Below are 21669 nucleotides of genomic sequence, written 5' to 3' on the forward strand. Positions count from 1 at the left end.
CACAGACACAATGAAACACAATAGTGTGAAATTCCAAAGCCAGATCTCTCATGCAAAAATTATAAGGAAAATTGTGAGGAACTGGTTTCATAACTTCTAAGTCCCCTCTTACCTACTCTGGGAATACAAAAAGAGAGAGAGAGAATGAGAGAATTTTGAACATGTGTGTGAGTATGTCTGATGTATTCATTTTTCAGAGAAAGCTGTGGTCATGTCATGAGGCTTCCCACTCCACCCATGGGAAAGAGGTAGGGAGTGCCGTCTTTGCCTCAGATTTAGCAAGGAGGCTTCCACGGGATCACTCAGAAAACTGTGAAACGCATTGCCTGCATTTGAAAGTGTGGGAGGAAAGATCAGTGTCTTACTGTGCAACTGACAGAGATAAAATGGCCATGGTTTCAAGGTTGAGGGGGTGGGGCTGGGTGGAGGTGGGCCCTGCAGGAGAGAGGAACAGAGTGGGATTTGCTTGGGTTCATCTCAACAGGGGCCCCAGGAGCTGAGGGGAGATGCTGGATCTCTAGGGGCTGTGGAAGAGCCCTCAACTGACTCCTGGAAGCGAGAAGCATCTGTTAGGATGAAGGGAACACCCAGTGAAGGGCCAACAGGAGACCTTCAAGGAGCCCCCAGATGCTCCCTAAGAAAAATGATCAGCTCCAAACACCTGCCATACCAAGAAAAAACAGATCTAGTTCTATTCACAATCAAGCAGATTTTTCCTGCTCCTACATCTCCATTCTCCCTCTGCAGCTACCCCTGACAGTCAGCAACTGTCCACCACGTTGGGCTCTGTACAGACTGATGGTTCTGTATTGTGAATATACTCTCCCCAGAGACACTGTTCAACTGCAGAAATCTGCCCCTGTGCCTTTAGAATTCACCAGCATCCTGGGGTGAAAGAGATCCAAGGGAAGTTTTACCTTTCTCTCTGCCTCTTGGCAGGCAACCTGGAACAAGTCTTGATGCATGATCCCAAACCAGACTAGCTACATAATCTGTGGGGCCTAAGGTAAGATGAAAAGGTAGGGACCCTTGTTTAGAAATTATTAAGAATTTTAAGACAGCAATAACAGAACATTAAACCAAGAGTAGGGCCCTTCTAAGTGTGGAGTCCTATGTAAACTGCACAGGTCAGGGGCCCACGAAGCTGGCCCTGACCCCAAATTATCTCTTCCATTAGTAAGCACTTATAGAGGAGTCCGGAATGTGGCTGCCTTTGAGGGAGATCTTCCTTAAACTGCACCCTTCACAGTGAATTAAACAAGCATCAGCCAGCAGTTCTCTTCTACCTCCTTCAAGCAGGAAACTAAGGCAATGGGAGCTGACTAGTGGCCGTTGTAACAGGGGAATTCTATGAATGCAAGAAAGTCTCAGCCCAGCAATGTGGCCATGGGTCCCAGAGGAAAAAATTCCTTGGCAGGTAGTCTTCATGTGAGAGCTCGGGACGGCTGGAACATTTATTTACCTGCAATCATGAGAACTGAAGAGTGACTCTCAGCTCACAATAGCATGGGCTGGTCCTGAGCTGTTCAGGATTTTGTGGGCTGGGTGGTGTAAATCCTGGCCAGATTCTCCTGGGAGGCAGCCATACCCCCCGTGGGCAGGAAAACCTCCTGAGAGACTAAACAGGGCAAGCTTTTAAAAAAACAAAATAATTAGTAGAAGGAAGAGTGAGCACTTTCAAGGGGTCCCCTTCGGGGTCCTCACGCCTTTAACCACCCCTCCCTTCTTGGCTCACTGGTGAGTGTCAGCCCAGCGGGGACACAAAGAGATCCCAGCTACATATCAGCAGCTCGCAAAGCAGAAGAAAGGCTCTGGTGTCCGGGCTTACTCCTGTTCCTTCATCGTCTTAGAAATAGGGACTTGGAGGCAAACAGTCCCATTACAATGACGAAGACTACTCTCAACATGATGCACCCAAATGAATGCATTTACCAGTTTGATGTCTGCCTTTCTTCCTGGTTTGTAAGCTCTATGAGGGAATGGGCTGTGCCTACCTGATTTCTTGTGTGCCAGAGTGTACAAAACATGTTTCAATGTATTTGTTGAATAAATGAATGAATTTAAAAGGGAGAAGTGAATGGAAATTTTGTAGAGATTTGTCAGGGCTCCTTAAAAGGCCTGGCTCTATCTCCACTTGTCTTAGGTTGCATTCCGTAGAAGCAGATCCTGATAAGATGATGAAGTGCACATGTCTCTTGAGAAAATGCTCTCAGGAGAAGGGGGGAAGGTAAGCCAGGTGCAGCAGAGGACTGAGCAAGGTTGGGGTCTCAGCTGGACACTTCTTGGACCTGTTCCCACGGGAGCTCTGGAGTATGAACTGTACCACAGAATTGTCTCACCTAGAGGTAAGGGGCCTGCCTTTTGTACCCTATGCCAGTCATGGATTACATGCTGCCCCTGGTGGGAAGGTGGGGAACCTCCCAATGGCGATTCTCTGAGGAGGGCAGCTGTGATTTCCTTAGCAGACAACACTCTCAGCAGCTGGGAGATGGGTGTAGCAACCACTCTCCATGAGACCACCCATTCTCACCCCCTCCAACAGCAAGCATGCCTGAGCAGGTGGGTCCCAAGATCTATATTCTCAGAAAAATTGGGAAACTAAGCTTTAGTCTGCTAGCCTAAGCCACATTTACAGCCTGAAGGGTATGTTGTCCTTTCCCAGCGATCACAAAAAGGATGCTTTATTTTCTGTTTGGCTTCTAGTTCTTTTGAACACAGAAAACTCTGTCCGGGACCCTGGAGGGGAGAAGCAAAGGGAGTTGGAGGGTTACCAAAACCTTTCTCTCATTCCACATTAGACACTGCCTGTATGGAGAGAGGTGTGTGATACAGAGAAGAGTCAAAGTGACTCAAAGTCTCAGCTGAGAGGTGCTACTAATGGACATCAGCTCCCACAAGCCGCTGCTGGAAACCCTCCCTGGCTTTGGACAGCACTTGGCTTAGATTCCAAACTCTGCATCCCATCACCAAAGCCTCACCTCATCTAATCACTGGCCACCTCTCTAACCTCATCTCCTCCCACTCTCCTGTTATCATGCTCCAGCAGCTCAGCATCTTTTCTGTTTGGGGCCTTGGCTCTCTCAGGGCTTTGGTGCTTGCTGTTCCCTGCACCTGGAATAGTTTCCTCCCTGGAGAAGCCAATGTTGGTCACTCAGTCCAAAGAGGTCCACACCCCTAACCCATCACCACCTAAACTATCATTTCCTGCTATTTCTCTTCTTCATTTATTGCTTGTTTATTGGATTCTCTCACCCCTCTCTAAAATGCAAGCTCCACGAGAACACAGATATTGGCTAAATTACTTGTGGCTGTAACATCAGTGACTACAAGTAGGAAGGTCAGGGAAGGGAGCTATTTGAGAGTGAAGGAGGAGGAAGAATCATATATAATATTTGGTAGAAGCTGTGATTGATGTTCCAGTGAAATATGTGGATGGAAATGCCCAGGAGACAGCTAGAGATGCCTGGCTAGACCCAAGAGAGTTTGAGCCTGGGATACATATTTCGGAGTCCTTCCCATAAAGCTAATAGCTAAAGTCGATATGGAAGAGAAGACAGTGAAGAGCAGAGCCTTAGGCAACACCCACATTCTGGAGATTTATTTTATCATGTTACCTAGAATGTTCCTCCATCTCCTATTAAGCACCCCTCTCTCAAACTGAAGTTGCAGCTTAAGAATTACTTGCCTCTTTCCCCACATTTATAATCCCTGCCCCCTGTTGCAGATGCAGAACAGCAACCCAAGTCCCTTCTGGAAGCAGCCCTCTCCCTCCTGGCAGCTGACAGAAGTCTCTCTGGCCAGGCCGGCCTTTTGGCTGCTCTGCATATGGAAGTTCAATTACTGTCAATGGGAGGCCCATCGGCAGGGTGAGGGCAGAATACACAATGGAGATCGGTGTACCAGATAGGCGCCTAGATCAAAGAAGAACCCAGAGTTTGTGAAGTCCTTTCATCCTCCCTGATGAAAGGTGATACATGAAGGCAAAATTGTTATGATTATTTCATTGGGTTCCAATTGGAGATGGGCTATAGCTCACTAGTGCAGACAATAGCAAGCAGCCTGCATGGATGTCTCTATAATATATACAGACAGGCTGGCCACAAATTCTAATTGTGTGTGTGTGTGTGTATTCATCAATAACATCACCTAAGCACTCCTTATTGTCAAGGAAGCCCTAAAGAGAATCACAGACTTGAACTCCCTGAGTCCTATAGACACAGACATACCATGAAATATATATACTTCGTAAATGTGTACAGAAAAAGCCATAAAGTAAGGGACAAAGAAAACAGTAAGGACATTTGAATTTGTCTCTCCAGAGAGAGCCCTGAGGATATACCATTCTTAGAATAAAGCTTTCATTTCACAGTGCATCAGTAGGAAAATTAACAAGCTCCCCTCGTCCTGTTCCATAATTCATTCTCTTTGTTTTAGGTATCGAGCTGACCTGGTGACTTAAAACCATGAGAAATAGCTTTTAAATACACATCTGGTCCTGGCAGTTTTGCCTTGCCAATGACAGAAGACCAACTTGTCCCATCATTAGGGAGATAGACATAATGTCACTTTGTCATTCAAATTCCTTTTCGATTTAACTCCATGTCCTTCACTGGTGCTGGCTGCTGTGCTGCAGAGGTTGTGGTTTCCAGGCTGAACATTTTCCTGCCATCCCAGCATTGCTACTGTGGCTGGATTTAGAGGTCCTTAGCTTGGGGCGAGGATAAGATGTGTCTGTGGGATGGGGGAAGGGAGAGCTTTCTCTGGCCCTGTGTTTACCTGACCTTACACGCAGCTTTTTCTTTCTCAGGGAGAAGCTTACTGCTGTTTTCATGGCTCTGCATGCCCGGGGAAAGAGGAAGGCCACAGGAAGGTGACAGCTGAGGCAGGGTATAACAGCAGGTCCCCAGGGTGGGTCATTCACTGGGCTGACAATCCAGTTGATGCTTGCTTGGGTTGGGGCTCTGTGCTAATTTGGATGCTGACAGCCAGGTGACAGCAGCAGAGGGAAAGTAAGCTGAGAAGCAGAGAGGGGGAACCTTGAAATGATGCCTCTAAACGATGGTTGACTTGTTTGTGACATCACACCCCTAAGGCATAGCTCTTTCCCCTGGGAGGGATGCTGAGTGGCAAGTAGGCAGGCTGGGTACATTTCCTTTTGGGATGTGGTAGCGACAGTGTCCTACAGAGTCAGACTGGTGGCTTTAACATCACAGGGCTTTGTCCAGCTGGATCCGGATATCCATTTGTCTAGATTCCATTTTCTCTGCTTCCTTTTTTATTCCAGTAGATATAGCAGGCTTTCTCCCTGTAGCCATGCAGAAGAGATACAACTCAGAGGTGATTCCTCTCAAAGGACATATTAGATTCTTGAAGAGAGTCTAACAGGTTTAAGTGGGTCAGATGCCATGACTCAACAGCTTCCCCTTGATCCTTTAATCTCACATCTGAAGCATAAGACCTATCCAGGTTACTTGGGGCAGCACCACCATTGTACCATTAAGGCTTCTCTTTCAGAAGGATGAATAATCCATCTGCAGCACTATTTTACACTCTAGTTCAATTCAAGACTCTGAATATGATTTATAAGTGTGAGTGATTATTTTAAGATCAACCAGGGTTAAGCCAGGGAAATTCTGTCCTCTGGTAGGGAGCCTCAATGACCAGACCACTGTAAAGCCCCAGGAATGCCAAGAACTCTGAAGAAGAAAGATTCACCTCTAAGTGAGTTGGAGGAGGCAAAGACAAAAAACAAAAAACAAACAGTACAGGCCTTAGACTAAGGAGTGTGGGAATGAGTTTCACCTCCATTTCCAGCAACTGCCACGCATAGAGTCTCTTCCAAAAATGCCGGTGGCCTCAAAGAAGAGACAGCTGCTTCCCCAGCCCCTCATTCATCACCTGCTTGCTGGCCTAGGACTGATAAGACAGATCCAGATCAAATTACCTGGCAGCTGGGAGAGCAAGGAGATAAGGAAAGGCAAGCTTAGGAGAAGTTCAGTAGAGTAGCAAAGATCAAATTGTGTATTAAATTTTCCAGGAACTAAAACCTTGCTCCCTCTGCAAACCCAGGGGAGGCACCTCCAATCAGTCAGCACCAAACAGTGTTCCCAGGAGAAAAGCAATGCCTTCAGCTTCTACTAGGAATTAAGAAAACAGAGTACTGAGACCAATTTATTATCACGCAGTTGGATGATAGGAAAATGAAAACAAAGGTTAGAGGTGAACATTATAGAGGAGCCGAGTGGCCAATGGCCAGAGAAACTTCAGGCAACAGAAGGAACACTGGGCTGAGCAAAAGACTTGGATTCTTGTTCTAGCTCCATCTCTCTCCCTTTGAAAATGCACTTGAACCCCTCTGGGCTTTATTTTTTTTTATTTATTTATTTATTTATTTATTTATTTATTTATTTATTTATTTATAAAATGGTGGGGTGAGGATTTCTTCAAGCTAAGATCTTCCTGGCTTGAAGCTCTTAAAATTTCTTGTTACTGCAGTCTTCCTAAGACATTCCATCTGATGGTTTATTCTTTTGACTCTGCCATTTTACTCAACTAAACCTCAAAATTCTTGACTATGGAAGCCTCCAGAGGTGTTGTTAAAGCTTTAACTCTTTCATTAAAAGCCATGTGACTTGCTTTATCCAATGGGAGGTTAGTAGATGTGACACAAACAAATGCTCGAAAGAGTACTTGCATGTTTCCATTTACGTTTCTGTTCTTGCCTTCTGTCATCACCATGACAACATGCCCAGTCTGGCTCCTGGAGGATGGGACACACAACGTGGGAACCGGCAAGTCACCAGAGTCATCTCAGCCAAGATCAACCAATAGTCAATTACCAGGAACGTGAGAGAATTCTGAGACCAGGACTGCTCAGCCACCTCTGCCTAAAATACCAACACACAGAACAGTAAAGTGAATGGATGTTTATTATCCTAAGCCACTATATTTTGAGATTGTACCTCATGCAGCACTATTATGACCATAGGTGACTGATATAAAAAGTAAGGAATTATGAATCATAAGAAAAAGATGAACCAAGGAAAGAATCAGCTTTGAAGAGGTGGTAAACTATGGGAGTTGGGTATGCTTTTCTGCAATGATCTTGTCTTATTTTCTTTTTTTTTAAAGGAAGGCCTACCTGAATAATTCTGTGCAGGAAGATAAAAGCAAGATTAGAGTGAGACCTATTCAGGGAGGTGTCATTTTGTGAGCAGTTCATGACCATACCCAATAATCAGGGTCTGTCTACATATCTGAATTTTAATCCTTACATATATGGCCTTAGATGAACTAAAATAATTATAAGAAGTTGTGTCATTGTAGACTTCTATTAATAAACATATACCTACATATATACATGTTTATGCACAAGAATCAGCCTGTATAGGCATATTTACCTAGGCATATTCATTGCATAGTGCTCTCATGGTTGTGACTTGGGTGGGTGTAGCAAAGTGACAGGCCAGGATCTCACCACATAGGAAGAACTTTGGTCTGGCCAAGACAGGGCCAGCTAGTGGCCTCCCTGCCATTAGCTCTGTCTGCCACCCAAGACAGAAGAAGCCAACAGTCCAAAGGGACATAGCAGCTTCATTTTGGTTCTAGTTAGTGGTGCCATAGAAGAGGAACAGGCAGATAGGATCTCATCTAGGCCATGAGACAAGCAAGAGTTCTCAAGAAGGGTAGACTCTTAGAAACAGGAGGCCAGTGAGACATGGATCTAAGAGGCATAGCCAGGTAGAAGCAGCCCTAGTCAATGGCTAGAAGTATAATATCCCAATAAAAGAGGCATTCTTAGAAAGCTGGGCAGCATCTCAGGACCACACATGATTGGGGAAAAGGGGTTGGTGAGGGGCAGACCCAGCCAGTTAGGCCTGTAGGTGCTGGGACAGGGTGGGGGATGCATTGTACCCACAGAATAAAGCCATAAGGGTGAATAGCAAGAGCCACATTGTGGATCACCCTGGAGCAGGTGTCAGAGTGAAGCCTGACATATGGAAGCTCTAGGAACACAATGGTAACCAGGGGAATAGAGGAAGAAAGAGAGGTTTCAAGGCCTCAGTAAAGCTGAGACTCAGGAACAGCAGGTGTGCACAAGTGCTAAGTGGTCTGGATTAATTCACGAGCTGGGTGCCAATGCCTGGCTCAGCTTCTATGGGCTCCTGGAGGATCCTTAAGAGGTGATAAAGTTCAGGTAAAGACAGTGGACTGGGACCAGGCAGAGCCTGGGATCCTGGGGTCATATCCAGCCCATTACCAAATCCTGTCAATTAAACTTCCAAAATGTCTCTGAGATCTGCCTGGGGCTCTCAGCATCTTTCCCACCATTGTCTCTTGTCTTGATTTAGGCAGTGGTCCTTACTTGTCTTCCTGTACGGCTGCCAGAGGGGAATTTTAAATATATAGTTTGGATTGCATCATTCTCCCTGTTTAAAACCCTCCAAGGCTTTCTGGATTCTTTCCCAATAGTTTCAAACACTTTACTCTGAGCGTCTTTGTCCCATGCATGCCATTCTCCCCCTTTCTTGCAGCTGCAGACACAGTGACCAGGCCTTGGTTGTATGATGCCTCCAGCTCGTTTCTAAGTTAGGACCTTCGCTTTTGCTCTTCCCTTTACCTGTAGGCTCTTTCTCCCGCTCCTCATGGGGCTGCCTCTTTCTCTTCATTCAGGCCTCAGCCTCAGTGCTACTTCTTTAGTGATGTCTGCCTGCGTTACCCAGTCTGAATGAGTTTTTTTTAACTTCCTATTCTACACATTTATATAGAAATAGAAGTGGCTTAGAATCCCAGGCCTTCCTCCCTGCACTGATCCCATGTCCTGGGTCTCCATTACTCTTCAGGTTAGGTATGAGAAAACTGGGAGGCAACAAGACAATATGTGTGACCTAGACTTCATGGAATTAAGTAAACATCAAACATTAGCAAAGCCACAATTTGTGGTCAGAGAAAAATTGCTAGAACCAGAGGGACATTCAATAGTGGAAGACCTAAAGTGACCACAGGGGCAAGGGCCTTGAGTGATCAGAATCCTGTTGGCAACTGACAGCCTGGATGATATTCCTTGTCCTGCTTGTCATCAGGGAGGCTCAAGCCCCTCCGCCCTGCCGCCACCTCTGCAGGGCTGAACACAGGCACTTTGTATAGGGAAACTTCAAAGACATTTTTCAAAAAGCAAAACCAGAGTGCACTTATATCTCAGAAAAAATGAGCTCCACTTGAATTTCCAACATTTCACAGATTTATGCAATCACACTTAGGTACCAAAATAACAGAGCAACAGAAATAGAGTTACTGAACTGTAATCAAGACAGAAAGTCTCCATATTTTAAATACTGGACATTGAACAACTTCTGTATTTAGCAACCCAGCTCAGACACAAGAAAATGATCAATCCAATGTGAGTTTGTTTATACTGATTTGGGAAAAGCCCCTTCATGGACTGTTGAAGGAAGTAAGATAAAGATGGAACCAGGGCAATGTGAGGAGATTCCAGAGCAGACATTTATCCTCAGCCTCTTCTGTCGAAAAGATGCAACCATTCCTTAAGAAGGAGGGATGGGGAGTAACCACTAGACCCATAGGGGTTAAGCCTACATATATTTTGTAATTTGCTCACATGTATTTATGCATCTTAATGTGGGCATAATTATGAATTTAATACATGCACTTAAATAGAATTTTCTGAAGACATTGCTTTAGTGACTCTTAAATACTGGTTCCAACAGTAGGAAGTTCAAGTGCAATGGAAGGGCAGTAAAGGGAGACACTTTGGAAGTGGGCAGTATCTTGCACTGTTATTGATACCATCTCAAGGAAGCAGCCTTCTAAACTGCTGCTGGATAGGGCCAATTCTGCTCGGAATACTGTATAGTATATTGCAAATGGGATTAGTCTGCTGAAAAGCTAACCCTATGTTCCAGGAAATTTGACTTTCCATCACAAATGATGCTAAGATCAGGCCCCATGCCAGAGGGAGAATGGCCTGAGTGCCAGGCATTCACCCGAAGGGCAAGGTCTCTGGAGGCTGCTGCACATTCTACAGGGCGGAGTCAGAGCCCTTGCTTGGAAAGGGGACTCCTGAGCCCTGGCCTTGGGTGTGCCCCACCCCACCCCCATTCAGCTTGCACCTTCCCTCCCCCATCTCCTAGTCCCAAGGCCAGGCATCTAGAAAAGCTCTCTCCTTGTTTTATCTGGCAGAACTTTGGGACAATAATTGGACTGAGTTCAACTGGCCAGGAAACCAAAGCCCAACAGAAAAATGCCTCATGAGTCCTGCCAACCTCCTGCTCCTTGCCAGGCCCAGTGCCGGACAAACAGCCCTGCTAGCGTTTGGGTTTGCGAGAGGAAGTACATTCCGTATGTGGAAGCTACATAATGGAAGTTATGTACTTTTCGGGAACTGTATAAGCAAGCACAACTGCTGCTCCCATTATGTGGCTCATGAAAGAGTTTTCACCTCCTGGGCTGGAAGGGAGTTGGTCTGTCTGCAACAAAGGCGTTTGCCTCTGTGGCTTTCTGAAAAAGAATGTGTGCGCTTGTCAAAACAGAACTTTCCTGCGTACTTGGAAGAGTGGGCCTGTCTGCCTGCCAGAAAGGAGCAAGGCTCAGTTTGGTTAAAAAGGGAAAAAAATTCCACTAAGCAGCCCCATTAGCCACTGCTCAGAGCAGCCTTCTTCTCTCACAAAGACATTTGTTCACTGTTGCAAAGCCGGCTTCCCTAGCAATTTCCCACTACTGCAGTTTGACTCGGCTGGAAGGTGGAGAGCTGGCATTAGGGATGAGTGTTTTCCCATCATGGAAAGGTTAAACAAAACTTTTCTCTGTGGTGGTCCAGAGCCCCAGGGCTCAGAGAAATATGAATACTGTGTTGGTAAATGCTCTCACTATGTTTTTCCGATCATTTTTTTTTTCTCCAAAGTAGGCTGCTGTTATTCCTCTAATGGTAGTGGAAAAACAGATGCAAAGATAACCTGACCTGGAGCGAGGCTTTGAAAACCCACTTGAGTTTTAATCAGCTGATTGTGGCAATGTGGCCCTCCTCCAGAAATTTGCTCTTGGTTGACCCCTGCCTATGCAGCCATAATAGCATGTTCAACCAAAGCAAAGCCCAGGGTTCAAATCAAGTATGACTCTATGAGTAAAGTAAATCACACCAATTTTTTCTACAAAGATGTTCTAACTTCAGTGTGACTGGCAAACATTCACTTCCAGGACCTGATAGTTCCATTTCCTTAGTGGCTCCAGGTTCCCAAGGGAATCTTCATGAAATTCAAAATTGGACCTAGAAGAGGCCATCCCATCCTCCTCTGTGAATGGATCATGTTTTCTCAAGACAGGTCTCCACAATAGAACAATTGAGACTACATGTCTATTTTAAGCCCTTGATTGTGAGAATTGCATCCATTTAATTTGAGTAGTTGGGTTAACTTTCCCTAGCCAATGACAATTACCTCCCTGGCTCCTGGGTAGAAAGGAAGAAAGAAGGCAAGCAGAACCTGGGGCTAATCTCACAATGACCTTGTTCTCTGTAGTTGCTTTGAGATGCCACAGCCCTCAAGCAACTGCCTAAATTTCACCAATGAAAGTCCTGGTAGCATGGAGGGCATTTCAGATTGAATTCCTAAAACTATCATTGGGGGCTCCAGGACAATAATTAATATTATTGCAGCTGAGAATTATTCTTTAATCAATTTATGCAAACTTGCTTAGATGCACGTGGGAGTTTCTGTTAAATAATACATGCAAACTTACAAATGGTTTATCAGTATCAGTAACTCAGACCTGTGAAAGTGATTGCTTTGCTTTGTAAAAACATGCCTGATTCCTCGGAGGTCTGAGGACTAGCATGGAACACAGTACCTGGCCAATACCATGGACTATTTTATCCCAGGCAAAACTTCATCTGTACTTGAGAGGTTAAAAATCAACAACTGGGTATAATGATAATTAGGGACAATAAATGGAACTTCAGGAATAACCTCCTGTGTTGTACCTGCTGATCTCCAAGAGGTGTCAGCTGCTTGGAGTACCCTGTGGTTCATGACAGTTTTGGGATAAAACATAAAGTCAATAGTAAGAAGCTACAAGTGGGGCCAGATTGTAATTCAAGAAAAGTATGTTAAATTTAAGAAAAACAACAGCATGCATTTAGTAAGTATGCATTTAACGTGAGCTAAGAAGATGCTGTGAGTATTAGGTGTCTCCTCAAATTAGCAAGAACACAACATTCCCTAAGCAGTGTTCTTTCCAGAAATAATTAAGCCTGGATTTAATCATACATCTAGATCTAACTACCAGTTTACAGGAAATTCAAGAGATAGAGGAACACGCTAACCAACATTATAAGGAAGAAAGAAGCCAAAACCAGAATATGAGGAATTCTATGGGACAGAGAACCTGACTCCTTCAATACAGGCATACCTCAGAGATGCTGTGGGGTCAGTTCCACACCCTTGCAATAAAGCAAATATTGCAATAAAGCCAGCCACACAAAATTTTTTGTTTCCAAGGGTATACAAAAGTTATGTTTCCAATATATTACAGTCTATTAGGTATGCAAAAGCAATGTCTAAAAAGTACATACTGGGCTAGGCGTGGTGGCTCACGCCTGTAATCCCAACACTTTGGGAGGCCGAGGCAGGTGGATCCCCTGAGGTCAGCAGTTTGAGATAAGCCTGGCCAACATGGTGAAACCCCATCTCTACTAAAAATACAAAAAATTGGCGGAACATGGTGGTGCACACCTGTTGTCCCAGCTACTTGGGAGGCTGAGGCAGGAGAATGGCTTGAACCTGGGAGGCGGAGGTTGCAGTGAGCCGAGATCGTACCACTGCACTCCAGTCTGGGTGACAGAGTAAGACTTCATCTCAAAATAAATAAATAAATAAAATAAAAATAAAAAGTACGTACATTAATTTTAAAATGCTTTATTGCTAAAAAAGAGAAAAAGTGCTCATGATTGTCTTGAGACTTCAGTGAGTCATAATCTTTTCGCTGGTGAAGGGTCTTGCCTCAGCGTTGATGGCTACTGACTGATCAGGGTGGTGGTTGCTGAAAGCTGGGGTAGCTATGGCTATTTCTTAAAATCAGACAGCAAGGGAGTTTGCTGCATCAGTTGACTCTTCCTTTCACAACAGATTTATCTGTAGCATGTGATGCTGTTTGATAACATTTTACCTACAGTAGAACTTCTTTCAAAATTGGAATCAATCCTATCAACTCCTGCCAGTTCGTCATCAACTAAGTTTATGTAATATTCTCAATTCTAAACATTCTGAATCCCTGTTGTCATTGCAACAATGTTCACAGCATCTTCACCATAAGCAGATTCTTTTTTTTTTTTGAAATGGAGTCTTGCTCTGTTGCCCAGGCTGGAGTGCAATGGCGCCATCTTGGCTCACTGCAACCTCCACCTCCTGGGTTCCAGCAATTCTCCTGCCTCAGCCTCCCAAGTAGCTGGGATTACAGGCATATGCCACCATGCCCAGCTAATTTTTGTATTTTTAGTGGAGACAGGGTTTTACCATATTGGCCAGGCCAGGTCTTGAACTCCTGACCTCTTGATCCATCCACCTAGGCCTTCCAAAGTGCTGGGACTACTGGCGCGTGAGTCACTACACCCAGCCACCATAAGCAGATTTTATCCCAAGAAACCACTTTCTTGGCTCATGCATAAGCAGCAACTCCTCATTCATTCAACTTGAATCATGAGATTGCAGCAATTCAGTCACATCTTCAGGCTTCACTTCTAATTCTAGTTCTCTTGCTATTTCTTTTTCTTTCTTTTTTTTTTTTAAATAGAGATAGGGTCTCACCATATTGCCCAGGCTCATCTTGAACTCCTGGGCTTAAGCAATCCTCCCACCTCAGCCTCCCAAAGTGCTAGGATTACAGTCGTGAGCCACCGTGCCCAGTCTAGTTCTTTTTTGCTATTTCGACTGCATCTGTAGTTACTTCCTCCACTGAAGGCTTGAAACCCTCAAAGTCATTCATAAACGTTGGAATCAACTTCCTCCAAACTCCTGTTAATGTTGATGTTTTGACCTTCTCCTATAAATTATGAATGGTCTTAATGACGTCTAGAATGGCGAATGCTTTCCAGAGGACTTTCAATTTACTTTGTCCAGATTCATTAGAGGAATCACTATCATAAGGCAGCTATAGCCTTATGAAATATATTTCTTAAGTAATAAGACTTGAAAGTCAAAATTACTCCTTGATCCATGGGCTGCAGAATGGATGTTGTGTTAGCAGGCATGAAAACAACCTTCATGTTCCTGTACATCTCCATCAGAGTTCTTGGGTGACCAGATGCGTTGACAGTGAGTGGTAATATTTTGGAAGAAATCTTTTTTTCTGATTCATAGGTCTCAACAGGGGGCTTCAAATATTCAGTAAACCATGCTATAAATAGATGTGCTGTCATGCAGGTTTTGCTGTTCCATTTATAAAGCATAGGCAGAGTAGATTTAGCATAATTCTTAAGAGCCCCAGGATTTTCAGAATGGTAAATTAGTACTGGCTTCAACTTCATGTCACTAGCTGCATTAGCTCTTAACAAGAGTGTCAGTCTGTCCTTTGAAACTTTAAAACCAGGCACTAACTTCTCCTCTCTAGCTATGAAAGCCCTAGATGACATCTTCTTCCAATAGAACATTGTTTTGTTTACCCTGAAAATCTGTTGTTCAGTGGAGCCACCTTCATCAATGATCTTAGCTAGCACTTCTGGATAACTTGCTGCAGCTTTGCATCAACACTTGCTGTTTCACTTTACACTCTTATGATGTGATGATGATTTATTTTCTTAAACCTCATGAACCAACCTCTGCTAGTGTCAAGTTTTTCTTCTGCAGCTTCCTCACTTCTCTCAGCCTTCATAGAATTGAAGAGAGTTAGGCTTGCTCTGGATTAGGTTTCAGCTTATGGGAATGTTGTGGCTGTTTTGATCTTTCTTCCAGACCACTAAAACTTTCTTCATATCAGCAAAAAGGCTGCTTCACTTTCTTATCATTCATGCATTCACTGAAGTAGCACTTTTAATTTCCTTCAAGAACTTTTCCTTTGTATTCATAACTTGGCTAACTGGCACAAGAAGCCTAGCTTTTGGCCTGTCTTGGCTTTTGGCCTATCTTGATGTGCCTTCCTCACTAAGTTTAATTATTTCTAGGTTTTGATTTAAAGTGGGAGACATGTGACTCTTCCTTTCACTTAAATGCTTAGTGGCTATCATAGGGTTATTAATTGGCCTAATTTCAATATTGTGTCTCAGGGAGTAGAGAGGCCCAAAGAAGGAAGAGAGATGGAGGAACAGCTGGTGAGTGGAGTTGTCAGAACACACACAACATTTATACATTGAGATTACCCTATTCTATGGGTGTGGTTCATGGCACCCCAAAATAGTATCAACAGTAACATCGAAGATCACTGATCGCAGATCACCATGACAGATATCATAATGAAAAAGTTCAAAATATTGCAAGAAGTACCAAAATATGACACAAAATATGCTGTTCAAAAAATGACACAAATAGACTTGTTCGTCTCAGGGTTGCTACAAACCTTCAATTTGTAACAAGTGCAATAATCTGCAAAGTACAATAAAGCAAAGAACAATAAAGTGAGGCATGCTTGTACATAAATGGCATTGAAAACGTGAGAAAAGACACAGGTTAAAAGAAATGAGATGTATTTTAAAAAACAATGCATGGAATTCATTTGGATCATGATTTAATCAAACCAACTATAAAAAAATTTTTGAGATAATCTGGGAAATTTGAACAAAGATAGTTTATTAGATAATCTTAGTGATAATATATTATGGGTATGTTAAAAATGAATGTTTATCTATTTAATATACAGAAATGAAATAACTGAGATTTTCTTTTAAATATTTCAGCAAAGAAAGTGGGATATAGATAAAACAAGATTAGCAAAATGTTGATGTTTGCATAATGTGTACATGAGATTTCATTATACTATTCTGTCTACCTTTGTGCACATTGAAAATTTCCAGAATACGGTTCCAAATTAATGGAAAGAAAGTGCTGTGAGAGTTGCAGCTTTCTGGCAAGAGAATCTTGAACACTTGCTGCTGCCTTGCTTTGGTGGGGATGGGGTTGTGCAGGGCAGCAGGGTGATCACAAAGCCTGGGACTGATGGGCACGGCTGGCCTGTGGGAAACATGCAGCAAGCTGGTTCTCAAGGCAGCCCATGAGGCTGGCCATTGCTTAAGGTCTAGAATCACAGAGCTTGACGCCTCCCCCTGCCCTCTTGACTTACTTCTCATCCTCTCTTCTATTCATCCTTAAACATACATCAAACACCTAACACAATGTTTCCTGGGGAAACAGAAGGAATAGGCCATGTGTCCCACTCTTAAAGGGAGGACACACAAATACCCAGAATGAGAGAGTTAGTTCAACAGTGCAAACCCTTAAGCATCTTTGACCACTTGGACCAGCAGCATCCCAGAATATATCAGAGGACAATCATGGTGGCCACAGGGAGACACAAGGGTCAGCAGCCCTTAGAGGGTCTGGCAACTTTGGCCACAGTTAGGTGCTTCCGAATGCTGGTCAGGCTTCCCCTTGCAGTGGCCTTTATGATCCCTAAACCAGGATCAGAGCAACCAGACTCTTTCTTTGCTGCCTGGCATTCCAGCTTGGGTGACTGATCCAAGCATAGGTGTGCACAAGCCATAGCTCCTTGGCTGAAGGCACTTCTGTAGCTACCCAGCGGGCTCATCTTGCCTGCTGCCCAGGCAGAGCCTATTTATCAAGACAGGGGAATTGCAATGGAGAAAAAGTAATTCACACAGAGCCAGCTGTGCGGGAAACTGAAGTTTTATTATTACTCAAATCAGTCTCTCTGAGGCCAGATCCCGTGGCTCACCCCTGTAATCCCAACACTTTGGGAGGCTGAGGCGGGCAGATCACTTGAGGTCAGGAGTTTGAGACCAGCCTGGCCAACATGGTGAAATCCCGTCTCTACTAAAAATACAAAAATTAGCCAGGCTTGGTGGCACATGCCTGTAATCCCAGCCATTCAGGAGGCTGAGCCAGGAGAATTGCTTGAACCTGGGAGGTGGAGGTTGCAGTGAGCTGAGGATCGTGCCACTGTACTCCAGCCTGGGCAACAGAGCAAGACTAAGTCTCAAAATAAATAAATAAATAAATAAATTAATTAATTAATAAGTCTTCCCAGCATTCAGTGATCAGAGTTTTTAAAGATAATTTGGTGAGTAGGGGCTTGGGAAGTGGGGAGTGCTGATTGGTCAAGTTGGAGATGGAATTATAGGGGATAGAATTGAGGTTTTCTTGCTGTCTTCTGTTCCTGGAGGGGCTGGCAGAACTGGTTGAGCCAGATTACTGATCTAGGTGGTGTCGGCTGATCCATCCAGTGCAGGGTCTGCAAAATATCTCAAGCACTGATTTTAGATTTTATGATAGTGATGTTATCCCCAGTAGCAATTTGAGGTTCAGACTCTTGCAGCCAGAGGCTGTATGAGCCCTAAATGATAATTTCCAATCTTGTAGCTAGTTTCTTAGTCCTACAAAGGCAGACTTGTCCCCAGGCAAGAAGGGGGTCTTTTAGGGAAGGGCTGTTATCAATTTTGTTTCAGAATCAAACCATAAACTGAATTCCTTCTCAAGGTTAGATGGGCCTATGCCCAGGAATAAACAAGGACAGCTTAAAAGTTAGAAGCAAGATGGAGTCGGTTAGGTCTGATCTCTTTCAATGTCATAATTTCCTCAGTTATAATTTTTGCAAAGGCAGTTTTACTTCCTTGCTGATTCAATTGCCAGCCCTGAGACCATGTCATCTAGATCAACCTCCAGGAGGCACATGGCACAGGCCTGCTGGCAGCTGCCATTCCTGGCAACATCGCTCCACACCCCTGGCTGACTGAGCACATTTGAAAGCGTATCACGTAAGCTCCTAAGAATAACCATTTCACACCTCTTAACTCTGTGTTCCCCTATTCCCTTCCCGCCTCCTTTCCTGACACAGACACAGCCCCATGTAACCTCTGTCCTTCATTCCATTGTTCTTCTTCAAAAGTGTGTGACCACCTGCAGCCCAGTTATTATGTTTCGCTCACCTCTCCTCCATACCTGTTCTATTTGAAGAGCTCCAAACAATTGTTTGGGCTAATTGAAAGAACTATTTTAATGAGAACCAAGTCTGTGGTGAATGAACAGCCATGATTAGAGAATGTTTTGTTCAGAAGCAGTCTTATTTCTACAAAGCATGCACGGTACCTCTAACTGCTTATCAAACAGCTACAAATAAAGCCCCTACCTGTCACACTGGTGGGTTTTAAACTGGCCTCCCTGATATCACAGGTCTCTGTGGAGGTTCTTAAGGGGCTAACACTGGCAGTGCAAGAAGAATGAGATGGTTAGGGGATATCGAAGCCTGCCAGGTCCCACCCAACCACCTCAAAGAGTTCCTCTTTCTTTGGCTACAGCTATTAGAGTTGTGCATAAGATAGACAGAATGATAGAGACAGAGAGAGAAAAAGAGAGTGAGAGAGAGAAAAAGAGCAAAAGAAAGATTCCTCACCTATAAAAACAAAGTTAAACAGCATCACTTCAATAAATATTCTAACTCACTGGATTTACATACAGCCTTGCTAACGGGCTTGAAAAATGACCCCTTAAGATGTCTGAATATGCCGTTTGCATTTTTGTTTAATCTATTTGTTTTGTTAGCAAACCTGTCCTTCATAGCTATCATGAAAGCAAATCAGCCCAGTCCTGTGTGATCTTACACAAATTTGCAGAACTGGTGGATTCAAAGGTAATTACATTTTCTATAGTCAATCTTTTCTCCAAGTGGAAGTTTGGTGTCACCAATAAGCCCACATTCCATTATGGCATGCCCTTGTGGCTGAGTGCGCCTGGTCAGACCCCATATCAGTGCTTAGGGAGCCACCGAGTGCAGCAGGAGTAGTGGGGGTGGAGCCGTGTGGTAATTGTGTGGAGGAAATCATCTCTCTTGATCATGAAACTGACCAGTTTCCTGCTGGCAATCCAGGTTGATAAATCCAAGTGACCTCAGACATGGCCCTCCTAAACCCTCCTACTCCAATAATTCCTGCAGCAAAAGGCCAAGCAACAGTTGACAGTGACAGGAAAAGTGGCTACACCATCAATCACAAAGGAAATCCCACAGCTCCAGAGCAGCATTGAGAGTTCCTCACTGCTCTCTTGTCACCATTTCCAATAAAAATGATGGCAAGTTACCATCTTATAACTATAAAACTCCTTCATTTTGCAAAGCCGATAAACAAGTATGGATGCCACTCTTTCTGTGGATTCTCTAAGACTTGAGGGGACTACATCAAATGGAGAAGAGGGCAGAGAGTGATATTCAGGCAACGGTTGTATTCCCATTCAGGAGTCAGACAACCATAGTCCCTGGCCAACAGCTGGGAACAGAGCATTCTATTTATATCAACAAATCTTTATGGAGCACACATTCCAGGCAAAGTCCTGTGATCTCACTACCGGATCCACAACGATGGAAGGGACGTGGTCCTTTTCCCGGGAGCTTGTAGTCTAGTCAGAAAGCAAGGTTGTAGTCAGCTAGCTGTCACATTTAATGCAGAAGGTGTTAACACCATGAGAGAAAGTGAGCAGATGCTAAGGAGGTGCTGGGAATGGTACAGAACCCTCAAGGCCTGGACAGGGGGTGTGAACCACTCCCCAGACCCTGCATTTGACTTGGGCTATGCTGCTAGGATGCTCCCAGTACTACTGCAGCCCTTTCCATGTAAACAGTGCTGATGCAGAACAGAGGATACCATGTTCCCAGGGACACCATGGGAACCCATAGAGACTCCTTAGATGCTGGTTTTGGTGCCAGGAAGTGCCAGCCAGATGAATGGCACTTATACAAAGGAATAATGGTCAGTAGTCTGCTTGGTTTGATTTTGAGACCAGAGAAATTGTTTATTCCAAACTATATCTGTGGTTTGCCTCTTTTGAAATAAAATGTTTGTCTTGTAAAAAAAAATAGTAATACCTTTGTAAGGGACAAGGGCTAGCACATTGGGTTGATAATAGGTCACTGGCACATTAACATGCACAGATGCACAGAGCTGACATGTTTGACAAACAAAGAGAACGTGTCACTCAGTGGCTCCTACTCTTCCTGGTTCTTCAGCCTCATCAGGAACTTCAGGCCCTTGATTTCTCCATTTTCTTCTGTAAATTATCCATTTCCTTCACGTACTCCCCTACCCAGCTGAACAGTATATGCTCACTCTAGGGAAAGTTACTGCCAGGTTACAGAGAGGTCCTTTGACTTTCTGCCGCTGAAGTTATAAACAGGCGTGCATCATTTCCATCCTCTACTCCTTCCACCTTGGTAAAATACAGGAGCCCAGTGATTATTGGGCTGAGACAAGGCCCATCCCGCTGTGCTCTGGATCTCTTCTCTCTCAGCTTCCAGGGATCTCCTCCACTCTGTTATCCCCTACTCCACCCCATTGGTTCTTTCCCATCAGTATTTATAACATAATCAGATCGCTTCCATCTGAAAAAATAAATCTTTCCACAACCCATGTTAATCCTCTCCAGCTGCTCCTCAGAGCCAAACATTAAGAAAGTCTTGAACTGTAAACGCTTTCCACATCCTCACCTCCCATCTTTTCTCAGCGCAATCAAGGTGGCTTCTGTTCCAATCGCTCTGCTGAATGTGCACCACTTTCCCTTGCCACCCCCTACCACATTTCTTAGTTGAAAAACCATGGCTGTCTGTCTGTTCACGCTTCAGCTCAAAGATCACTTCTGTTTTAAAGGATTTTTTAAAATTTTATGTATGTATGTATTTATTTATTTTGAGATAGGGTGTCACTCTGTCACCCAGCCTGGAGTGCAGTGGCACAATCACGGCTCACTGCAGCCTCAACCTCCAGGGTACACGAGATCCTCCCACCTCAGCCTCTCAGGTAGCTGGGACTACAGGCATGTGTCACTACACCTGTCTAATTTTTTTTTTTAATTCTTTGTAGAGACGAGGTCTCACCATATTGCCCAGACTTGTCTCAAACTCCTGGGCTCAAGCGATTTGCCCACCTCGGCCTTCCAACATGGTGGAATTACAGACATAAGCCACTGCTTTCAGCCTTAAATATCACTTTTGGGAAGCTATCTCTGCCCTTAAGACTGGGTTGCATACCTCTTATCTTTGTTCCCATAACATTTGACTTTTGCTCTTATCGGGAAGCTTATTGAACTGATTTCCAAAGACCCATTTGCTTCTCTGATTATAACCTCCTTGAGGGGAAGGGCTGTTTTTTGCTTGCTAAGGTAACCCACTGCCTGGCACAATGTCTGGGACAAAGAAAGGTGTTCAAGGTTATGGAGCTAGTGATAGGCAATATTAAGCATCAACCCCTACCTGAAATAGGCTCTGTTTCTAATGACTCCAATAAACTGATTTCTCAAGACCAGAGTTTCTCAAACTTTAATGTGCCACTCATCACTAGAGCATCTTGTTAAAAGGCAGATTCTGATTCAGGAAGTGTGAGGGGAGGTCCAGGATCTGCATTTCTAACCAGCTTCCATGTGATGCTGATGCTGCTTGTCTATGGGTCACACTTAAAAGCAAAGGTCGAGCTGACATAAAAACAAGGGTTTTATAGATTATATTAGAGAA

General features: G+C 44.1%; 2 long non-coding RNA genes across 3 annotated transcripts in view, besides 1 other annotated feature; both read left to right on the forward strand.

Annotated features, from left to right (window-relative positions):
* The window catches only part of LOC105377043 (uncharacterized), a 191504-nt gene that overhangs the window by 147882 nt on the left and 21953 nt on the right, over window positions 1–21669 (forward strand). Inside the window, exon 3 of one of the 2 annotated variants that reach the window (XR_940766.3) lies at window positions 2144–3238. The exons of the other annotated variant lie outside the window; for it this stretch is intronic. This is a non-coding gene — a long non-coding RNA (uncharacterized LOC105377043). Of the gene's footprint in view, window positions 1–2143; window positions 3239–21669 lie in introns of those variants that run through there. 2 annotated transcript variants of the gene reach the window in all.
* Window positions 3330–8583, forward strand: LOC124906230 (uncharacterized). Its single transcript, XR_007095887.1, has 3 exons — window positions 3330–3967; window positions 4808–4887; window positions 6753–8583. It is a non-coding gene; the product is annotated as an uncharacterized LOC124906230 (long non-coding RNA).
* Window positions 3563–4243: an enhancer, noted in NCBI's record as "NANOG hESC enhancer chr3:40912794-40913474 (GRCh37/hg19 assembly coordinates)". NCBI's record gives its function as "activates a minimal SCP1, AML or CMV promoter by ChIP-STARR-seq in naive H9 embryonic stem cells {active_cell/tissue: H9 hESC(naive)}" and the evidence as "EXISTENCE:reporter gene assay evidence [ECO:0000049][PMID:30033119]".

The sequence above is a fragment of the Homo sapiens genome, chromosome 3 (assembly GCF_000001405.40).
Source record: "Homo sapiens chromosome 3, GRCh38.p14 Primary Assembly".
NCBI classification, from domain to species: Eukaryota; Metazoa; Chordata; class Mammalia; order Primates; family Hominidae; genus Homo; species Homo sapiens.